Source organism: Homo sapiens, chromosome 1 (assembly GCF_000001405.40).
Source record: "Homo sapiens chromosome 1, GRCh38.p14 Primary Assembly".
NCBI classification, from domain to species: domain Eukaryota; kingdom Metazoa; phylum Chordata; class Mammalia; order Primates; family Hominidae; genus Homo; species Homo sapiens.
Genome location: NC_000001.11, coordinates 55,584,701 through 55,595,994, shown reverse-complemented (window position 1 = coordinate 55,595,994; position 11,294 = coordinate 55,584,701).

Sequence of the window (11,294 nt, the reverse complement as noted above, 5' to 3'; positions counted from 1 at the left end):
AAGACAGGAGGGTAGATTGAAGACAGGTTGGTTAAGAGGTACAAAACTACAGTTAGAAGAAACAAGTTCTAGTATTAAATAATATAGTAGAAAAATTATAGTTAACAATAATTTATTGTATATTTACATATTTCTTTCTTTTTTTTTTTTTTTTTTTGAGATGGAGTCTCGCTCTGTCACCCAGGCTGGAGTGTAGTGGCACGATCTTGACTCACTGAAACCTCCACCTCCTGGGTTCAAGCGATTCTCCTGCCTCAGCCTCCTGAGTAGCTGGGATTACAGGCACACACTACCACGCCTGGCTAATTTTTGTATTTTTAGTAGAGACAGGGTTTCACCATGTTGGCCAGGCTAGTCTCAAACTCCTGACATTGAGATCCACCCATCTCAGCCTCCCAATGTATTTCAAAACAGCTAGAAGAATTGTAATGTTCCCAACACAAAGAAAAGAAAATGTTTGAGGTGATGAATATCCCAATTACCCTGATTTGGTGACTACACATTGTATATAGAGGTATCAAGATAGCATGTGTACATCAAAAATATGTAAACTATTACCAATTTTAAAAGTTTTTAAAATATTAAACAAATTTATAGTGGCAGGAAGCAGATCAGTGGCAGCCTAGGATGGGTGGGGAGTCAAGAAAAGGAGGCTACAAGGAAGGGGTTATAAAGTAGCATGAGAAGAGCTTTGAGGGTGATGAATATGTCCACGAACTTGATTGTGGAAATGGTTTCATGTAGGTATACATATGTCAAAACTTATACAATTACATTCTTTAAATATATGCAGTTTGCTAAGTGTGAGTTACACCTCAATTTTTAAAAACAGAAAAAAGAAAGCCTACAATGGTTTCACATCATCGCATTGCAATTTGAATCATGTTCTAACCTCTTATTGCAGCCTCAAGGTCCTGCATACTCTGGGCCACATCCAACCACCCACCCTCTCATCTTATTCTACACATTCTCTCCTCCCTCTCTCCTCTGCTGCCTCAGTCCCAATGGCCTCCCTTCTCATCCCTCCAAGCCCTTTCCCACGCCAAAGGCTTTCACTTGCTTTTCCCTCGTCCCCAGGACATTCCCTTGGCTGGTCTTCAACTTCAGGGCTCAACAAACCCATCACTCCTGCAAGAGGTCTTCCTGATGACCCAGACCGAGTAGGTAGGACGGCACCATTCCTCTCTGGCAGTCAGGGTCTACTTCCTCCATAATAGTTTTCATCACCTGAAAGCAGCATGTGTATTTGTTACCTACTTGTTTACTATCTATCTCTCTTTCCTAAAACACAAATACTTTAAAGATAGGGACCTTCCCTGTCATGTTCATTGCTTTATCCCCAGTGCCTCATGCACTCCCCGGCACATGGTAGTAACTTGGTAAATATTTTTTAATGAATGACTAAATCAAGCATTCTATTAACGTATTGAAAGTAAAAACCACTGAAGTGTTTTCTTTTCATTAAATATTAGCATTCTATACATGTAAGAGAGCTTGGTTTTAAGGCATTTATTTTCCTATTTTCATACTTTTAATCCATTCATCTTTCTGACTTTCAGGAATGCTTACTTTTTTCAGTTTACAAGCCAAAATCAGCTTCTTTGATGTATATAAACTCCAGGCTGCTTTCTGACAGGGTCCTAATAATTTGTCCTATGGTATTGTAATTCATCAAAAACTCATGTTTAAAACAAAGAATTCAGGAAATATTGGTTGTGTAAAATGCAGGGCATCTCCAGGCAAAAGTAAGGGTTATAATGTGGTTGACATATTGGGATGGTGGGAGCAAATGAAATAACCACTGTGTATGAAAAATATTATTTTGTTTCTGGTCTCTAAAGGTGAAAACTGAGTAAGTTAATAGCCTCTCTGAAACTTAAAATCACACAGTTAATAAGTAGCAAAACCAAGACTCCAATCAAAGTCTTCTTACATCAACCAGAGGAACCATGGAGAATGACTTCAGTTTTTAACATGTTCACTCAGAAATAATCGATGACACTTCTATTCACTTCATACTGGCCAAATCAAATCACATAGCCTTGCCTAATTTGAAGGAGATGGAAGGACAATCACTCCATGCTCCTAGAAGGAGGACAGAAATACTAGTGGGCAGCATGAATGTCTTCCTCCAGGCTCAGTTATGGAAGAGCTTGAAGAGAACACCATGAGCCAGTGTATAGCCAGGGAAGGCTTTGCTTTTGAGCATCGAGTGGCATTATCAAAAATTGAGGTTCTATTAAGGCATCAAGCTGAGGGATCTGTGATTTCATGGGGTCTGACTTCAGCCTATGAACATCTAGAAATATTAGTGGTGTTCTTACCCTAGGAGCACATAGGCCTGTGTCCTGGCATTGCATTTAAAGTAAGAGGCACTTAAGAACCATTTCATCTTGATGTAAATAAAGATTAGTGTATGTCTATTTGCTCAGCTCTGCAGGTAGGAACTTTCTAATCACATTCCCACCTCTAGTCAGTAACTAGGGCCCCACACCCCCAGCCCTGCCAAAACATCTTCCAAACTGCTGAAAGGTTTACTTGCTGACTTTGCAAAAGCCCCTCTGAAATTCCTCCTTTCTTAGAAAGTGGTTCTGGCAGGTGCTGAACAGTTCACACCAGATGGGATGCATTTACACAGAATCAGAACCAAAGAACACCCATCTCTTTGTGCATGGCCACAGGCTGGACAGAAAACATCATCTGAAGCTCTGCTTTTCACACTGGTCAGATGTGGCAATCCTGTGTGTGCATGCTTTTGGTGAAAACGATTTCCCCGATTAAGAAAATATTTAAAACAAATATACAGTTATAGGTTTTTTTTTCACTGTATATACTATTCCTTTCACATGCTCATGATTTTGAATCAAAGCCAAAAAGATGTTCTCTAGTCTTGTGCATCTTTGAAAGTTGGAGCTTGGATCTGTCCATTCGCTATTTAATTTATGAGAGAAACATATTCTGACTACAACCATATGCCAGTTACATTCATTTCTTTTTCCAGGACTTTTCTCTGTGGAGTTGGAAAGTTCACCTTCAAGTTCAGAAAGATAGTATGTTGCAGTTTGGGTTCCTTGGTAAGTGGGCTTTGAGATGGAAATTAGCATGTAGGACACTTCATAGGTCATTCTTTCAAGTTCTATACCTGTGGAGAGAAAGGAAGGACAAAGGATGGGGCAAAGGGAAAAACCAGGCTGCAGCAAAGGCTTCCACAGCAGTTTCAGCTAACCCCACCAGGAGCTCAGGATTTGGAAAGGCCTGTCAGATTTACCCACTTTCCAGAAAAGGTTATGGGCTTTCTGCATTAAGCAGTCATTGGATGCAGGTTGCCCCAGAAAGGGAGCATGGTGTTGGGTTAAGGCAACTCCCTCCAGCACAAGACGATTTCCAGAGAAGGCCAGAAGCATTTTCAGGCACTGGAATATCATTTATCCCTGAAGAGGGATCTTGGTGGCACATTACAGCATCCACTTCATATCTTATATTCATAACTGGAATTAGGCAGTATGATGTCATAGGAATAGACCATTGGACCAAATGAACACTAGACCAAGATTGTCCTTCAAACACTGGGAAAGCAACCAATACTGAGCAACTCAGGCCATCACAAGGGCTCTGCATCCAATAAAGATCAGGCCTTCAGCCAAGTTCTTGGCATTTCTGATCCTGCCCTAAACTCTCTAACACACAGTCCATGTCCACCTTCCAGGCTGCACTAGCTGGTAAGTGGAAGCTAAGAATAGACTTGTGACACCCCAACACTTACTTCTGATTTCATTCCTGAGAAGCTGATCTCGACTAACAAAGAGCCCGCTGCTATAAACCAACCTGTGCCTCTAAGTCAGACCAACTCACCCAAAAGCACTGACTGGGAGGATAACAGCTACTCCAACCCTTATATTTTTCTCAGGACCTTACTCTTATTCCCAGATACAAGCATTTGTTTGGCTCAGGGATATCTTTTATCTTGCTGGCTTCTAGGAAGAGTTGAAGGAATATGACTTCCCCAGCTGAGGTCCTCATCATCTGTGCTTCCAGTTTCTTATCACACTCTCTCTTGCACTTATCAATGTTTCAAATAACCCCTGGGTGCAAGCTAGGACATGCCTGGTGTTGTGGGTTGAATTATATCCCCCAAAATGGCATATTGAAATTCCAACCCCCAGTACTTCAGAATGTGCCCTTATTTGGAAATAGGCTTTTTACAGAGAGAATCAAGTTAAAATGAGGTCATTAGAGGAGGCCTCTACCACCAGCCCAATATGACTGGCATCCTTATTGAAAGGGGAAATTTGGATACGTGAACACACACACGGAGAGAGGACACCATGTGACATGAAGGCAAAGATCAAGGTGACACATCTATGAGCCAAGAAATCCTGAAGGTTGCCAGCAAACCATCAGAAGTAAGGGAGAGGCATGGAAGAGAGTCTTCCTCAAGGGCCTCAGAAGGAACCAACTCTGCCAACAGCTTGATCATGGACTTCTGGCCTACAGAACTGTGTGACAATAAATAACTATTGTTTTAAGCCACCCGGTTTGTGGTACTTTGTTAGTGTGTTTTAGGTACAGCCCTAAAACACAGATACACCTGGGAAGCTTGTCTGTTCATAGCTTGCATCCTGGTCATCATACTAGAAAGAGCTTAAGGTCACAGGGCCATCAAGTGAAAGAGGTGACAACAGTACATTAGAAGCTAAACCATCTTCAAATCCAAACCATAATGAGATATCACCTCACACCCATTAGGATGCCCATTATCCCCTGCCAAAAAATAAATAAAATAGAAAATAACAGAAGATGGTAAGGATGTGGAGAAATTAGAACTCTTGTGCATTGCTGGTGGGAATGGAAAATGCTGTAACTGCTTTGGAAAACAGTACAGAGGTTCCTCAAAAAAACAAAAATAGAGCTACCATATGATCCAGCAATTTTACTTCTCGGTATATACCCAAAAGAATTGAAAGTGGCATCTCCCAGAGATATTTGCACATCCATGTTCATTGCAGCATTATTCACAAATAGCCAAAAGGTGACAGCAACCCAAATGTCCATCAACAGATGAATGGATAAAGAAAATGTAGAATATACATACAATTGAATATTACTCATCCTTAAAAAGGAATGAAATTCTGACATGCTACAACACAGGTGAACTTTAAGGATATTACACTAAGGAAAATAAATCAGTCACAAAAAGATTAATACTGTGTGGTTTCACTTATATGAGATAGCTAGGGTAGACAAAATCATAGCGATACAAAGTAGAACGGCAGTTACCAGGGGGTGGGGGAGACAGGAATGGGAGTTGTTAATGGGTACAGAATTTGAGTTTTGCGAGATAGAAAGTTCTAGAAATCTGTTACACAATTATGTGAATAGAGTTAGCACTACTGAACTGTAGGCCTAAAACTTGATAGGAGGGTTAGCTTATTATGTGGGTTTTGTTTTCATCACAATTTAAAAGGGAGAAGAAGGAGAAGGAGAGGGAGAAGAAGCAGCAGCTGCAGCAAGGTCATCTGGCCCCCCGCCCAGCATTCCACCTTCCATGGCACACCACCTCTCTAAGCCTGCAGCATCCACATCAGTCATTTGCAGGAGGACAAAGGACAGACTGGTCAGTCAACAAAAGCACTGCCCATCCAGATCAAGAAAGGGGGCATTCGTTGAGCATCTACTGGGGCCTCAGACTATCCCTGATCACACATGACCTTATCAGCCACCCCGGTGGAACAGTCCTCATTTCTCCACCTCCTAAATAAGAAACTGAAGCTCAGAGGGGTGAAGGGGACTGTTTTGAGTCACTTGGCTGCTGGAAGTTCGAGCTGGGATCTTCTTCCCCCACCCCAGTTGCCTGTTTGATGACTGCTTAAACTTTGTGAAATCATTTGGCTTGACAGAATGCTTAAGAGCTTTTCAAAGTGGTAACTGGAACTCACTCTGCCACACGTATTTGTGTATTTGTCTGTTTTTCTTCTCTTTTCTTTCTCTTTTTCTGGAAGGAAAAAGCAATCATCTAGTGAAAAATATTTTCCTTAGAGATCACTTAAGGTATTTGGCAATTTGGATTGCCAAATATCACAAAAGAGACTAAGAAGTAAGACATGGGACTGAGGGCAAAAAGAAAACATTCAACAAGTCCGAAAAGGCCAAGGAAATGCTTCAGGCTCACTTCCCTTGCCACCGCCCCAGACGTCCACACCGCCTTTTGAGTTGGCAAACCCTTGGGAGGCTGAGTCAGGGTGGCCTGGGCCACCTCTTGCCAATCTTGGGAACCCTCTAGAATCCTGTTTGAAAGCAAACCAACTGCTCCCACCCCCCAAGTCTTGGTGTGTTCGAATTTCTTTTCCCATGCCAAAATCTGATTTCCTGTTTCTAAGAAGAAAAGCTTTAAAATGTCCCTTAAAACAAAAAAAGACTCCTTAAGGGAGCTTAAACATCAAAGGACTCTTAAAAAGTAGGGTTTTGTTTGGTTAAGTATACGTAAATCAGAAAATTTTCAATTAAGTTTTCCTTTAAGGTGCTAAGGTTTCTTACTGGATTTGGGCAAAAGATTTGTGGACTAACCATATAGATTCTTGGGGGCTATAAGGAGCGTTAATCTGGTCCAATCTGCTTATTGCAGTGATAAGTGACTTACCTAAGGTCTCACAGCAAGCAAGTGTAAAAAATAGACCTAAGCCCAGGCTCTTAATGCCCAGTTTGGTGTGGTTTCCATGCATCTGCCTATTTCTCCTACAACAGAAAGTTACAAGATTTTTTTCAAAATCGAAGGTTGAAGTTCGAAACAGGCAGAAGGAAGCTATTAAGTGTGTAGGTTTTTTTTTAAGTTATGAGTTTGAAACAAGTAACTGTGACTACTAACCTTTTCCTGAGCACTTAGCATGTACATGTGTTGTTCATTTAATTGCCTCAATTCTATGAAGTATTTACTATGTTTTCTTCATTTTACAAAGGAAAAGGGAAAGTGAGGGAAGACAATGATTCAAATTCTTAGTTTAAGCTTTTACTCTATTTTCTGAGTGGCCAGAACATGCCAGGCTTTTTCTGATACCTGGTATCAACTCATCTTCAAAGCAACCCAGAGACATTGGTATTATTGTCTCCATTGCACAAATGAGAAAATCAGATCTTAAGAAAATCAATCTGCCCAAGTGCTCACCACCAGGAAGTAGCACAGTGAGGATTAGAACTTAAATCTGGCCCTCCATGCTTATTCTCTTTCTGTTACCCTCTTGACAGAGTCGTTGGGAGGGTCAAAGCAGATCATTTAAGTGAAAGCCTTCTGTAAAAACTGTAAAGAATTTAACAGATTTGAGGGATTATCATGCTTAAATCTAAGTTGTTCTTTTTTCCTAAATTTCCACTCTGGCTTGTAACAACAGGATCTAAGAGCCAGGCATGACAAGGGGCCCAGGTCTCTCAGCTGAAAAACATTTTCCAAATAAAAGATTTGATTGAGCACATGCTTGTTTTCCTTGGGTGGGTCCCAACCACCCAAATGTTTAATTGGGTTGGAAAGTTTTGATCCTGATGGCCATTGTTGGAGGCAAATGAGAAACGTGGAGCCTTGCTCTCTGACCCTGAAGGAAAGAAGAAAGCCCGAAAAAACAGAGCTATAATCCTGCTAGCAGTTATGCCATCCAAATAGCAGCATTATTAGACCAAATGCTGCTTCATTCATTGGCTTATTTGTTTATTTGGGGCTATCTTATGAGCATCTGCTGCAAGCCACACTCTGCTTTAGGCACAAGGAATACAGAGAGGAATGAGCTACAGTTGTTCCCTTGAGGACCTCATAGTCCTGAGGACTTCTGCAAACATTCCCCATGAACATTTCTCTACCCTTCCTGGTCATATTCTGTTCTTCCGTCTTTGCCCCACACAATTTATGCCAGTGTTATGGCTGGATAGTGTCCCTCCATAATTTGTATGTTGAAGACCTAACCCCCAGGACCTTAGAATGTGATTATATTGGAGATACATTCTTTAAAGAGGTTAATTAAGGGAGCTGGGCGTGGTGGCTCACGCCCGTAATCCCAGCACTTTGGGAGGCCGAGGTGGGCAGATCATCTGAGGTTGGGAGTTTGAGACCAGTCTGACCAACATGGAGAAACCATGTCTCTACTAAAAATACAAAATCAGCCTGGCGTGGTGGCGCATGCCTGTAATTCCAGCTACTTGGGAGGCTGAGACAGGAGAGTGGCATGAACCCAGGAGGCAGAGGTTGCAGTGAGCCAAGATTGCACCATTGCACTCCAGCCTGGGCAACAAGAGCAAAACTCCGTCTCAAAAAAAAATTAATAAATAAATAAAAGAGGTAATTAAGGTAAAATGAGGTCATTAGATGGGCTTTAATCCAATCTGGTGATTTTATAAGTGGAGATTAAGACACAGACACACACAGATGGAAGACTCTCTGAAGACACAGGGAGAAGACAGCCATCTACAAGCCAATAAGGGAGGCTTCAGAAGAAATAACCTTGCCTACACCTTGATCTTGGACTTCCAGCCCCCAGAATTATGAGAAAAGGAATTTCTGTTGTTTAAATCACCCAGTTTGTGGTTCTTTGTTACAGCAGCTCTAGAAAACTATTACAACCAGCCAAAGCATTGAGTCTGATCTGCTGAGTATGAGAGTTATGTCTGTGTTCATTGAATGAAAGGAAGAATGAATAAAACTATCATGGGCCAATCCTCAAGGTGTTTGCAGTCTTAAGGGGACCCTAGTGTTTTTTCTTATTCTGTGCTGTGTGCTGGAGGCACTGAGATGAAAGCTGTGGACCTTCTTCATGGAATGTGTATGCTAGCAGGGAAACCAAGCTTACAAGTATTTCATACATAATAATTTTCGAAGTACTATGATAGAGGAATGCAACACCTGAGAACCTGGAAGAATCCCCTAATCTAGTGAGGAGAAGAGAAGGTCAGGGAAGGCCTCTTGGAGAAGAAACCACCCAAGCTGTCATGAAGTACAAACAGCTGTTACCCAGCAGGTTGTGGAGACAAACCATTCCAGGTATGTGCCCAAGCCTGGAGGTACCCAGGCCAACCACAACAAGTCAGTGCAAGAGAAGGAACAGAGAGAGAGAGAAGGCTGGAGTGAGGCAGAGACCAGGTCATGGAGGCAGCGACCAACAGAGGCAACGGCTAGGTCATGGGGGGCCTGTGACAGGGTGAAGGCACTTGGGTTATAGAGTTAGAGAACTTAAGTTCTCTAACTGTAGCCAGCTAGAAGCTACATTTCCCAGCTTTGTTTGGAGCTAGATGTGGTCATGAGACTAAGTTCAGACCAGGGCGACACATGCAGAAGTGATGTGTGTGACTTTCAAGTCACTCCCAAAGACAGGCTCAGCTACTTGCTAATTTCCCAGCCTAATTATTTCTGCAGGCTGGAAAATAGAAACAACTGGAGTGGTCTCAGAAAGACACAATGCAGACAACAGACTGACCTACTAGCCTGGATTCCTAGCTGCCCTAAAAGGACAAGAGTCCTGCTCTCCCTGAACTATTGCCTCTGGACTATTACAGAAGAGAGGAATAAACACCTGCTTAAGTTAGGCCACTGAATACCTGGGTCCCTGTATTACCCCAGCTTCACTTGTACCCTAAGCATCATACAGCCTCATTTTGGAGATTGTGGACAATACACTAAATCCTCAATGTTATCAATAGGTTCTTAGGAACTGTGACTTGAAGCAAAACAGCAGGTCCTTGAATAATGTCTCACATTCACCTTTCTTTCCTTATAATCTTGATAAGAAAAATAATTGGTTTTTATACTTTGTTTCACAGTCACATGGAATCCTATGCAGCCACAAAAAGGATGAGTTCATGTCCTTTGTAGGGACATGGATGAAGCTGGAAACCATCATTCTCAGCAAACTATCACAAGAACAGAAAACCAAACACCACATGTTCTCTTATAAGTGGGATCTGAACAATGAGAACACATGGACATAGGGAAGGGAACATCACACACCAGGGCCTGTTTGGGAGTGGAGAGGCTAGGGGAGGGTTAACATTAGGAGAAATACCTAATGTAGGTGACAGGTTGATGGGTGCAGCAAACCACCATGGCACGTGCATACCTATGTAACAAAACTGCACGTTCTACACATGTACCCTAGAACTTATAATAAAAAAAGAGAGAGAAAAAAAAAGAAACTATGGATGACATTAGGTGAGGACTTACTATGCTACTTGACACATAGTGGGTCTGTGATTAGTCAATATACCTGATATAGTTTGGCTGTGTTCTCACCCAAATCTCATCTTGAACTGTAGCTCCCATAATCCCCACATGTTGTGAGAGAGGCCCAGTGGGAGGTAATTGAAACACGGGGACAGGTTTTGCCCTTGCTGTTCTTGTGATAATGATTAAGTCTCAAGAGATCTGATGATTTTATAAAGGGCAGTTCCACTATGCATGTTCTCTTGCCTGCCACCATGTAAGACGTACATTTGCTCCTCCTTCACCTTCCACCATGATTGTCAGGCCTCCCCAGCCATGTGGAACTCTGAGTCGATTAAACTTATTTTTCCTTATAAATTACCCAGTCTCAGGTATTTCTTAATAGCAGTATGAAAATGGACTAATAACATACCCACAGCTATCATTAGGATGAACTGATAGAATGTGGTGACTCACTAGATGTGGTGGCAAAAGAAAAAGAAAAGCTAATCAGACTCTGAAATTTCCAACTTGGGTGTCAGTGAGAATGATGGGACTCCTAATAGAAATGTGGGGAGGAAAGAGGAGGACAATTTGGGGAGAGAAAATAAAGGCAGGCTCTGGCCATGCTGAGTTTGAGTTGCTGGCAGGGCTCACAGAAAGAGATGCCAACAGGCAATTTGAAATTTGAGCTGTAGCTGAGGTCTGGAAACAAAGAATGGGGTGGGGGTGGGGGAATTGAAGCTGTGGAAATAATGAGGTTTCTAAGGGAGAAAGCTGCAGACGCAGATATTGGAAGGATAATGAGGAGACAAGTCTGGCTGGAGCAAAGGTTTCTAAGGGTGCAAAAGGGAGGGAGCACTGGGAAGGGGTTGAGCCCAGTGTGGCAGAACTTCAAGAGCCCTGTGGAGGAGGAGCTGAGACCTCAGTCTTCAGGCAAAGGGGGCCATGGTGGCTTTGAATGGGGAGGGCAATGATGAAGATCCTACCTGTTGTGCCAGAGCATCCCTGATGGGGCCAGAGGGATGCTCTTCCTCTGCCAGACAAGCAGCTACCACTTACAGCCATTTCACTGCAGTCTTAATAAACACATGTGAAGTACAGCAAACAACCTCAATGAACA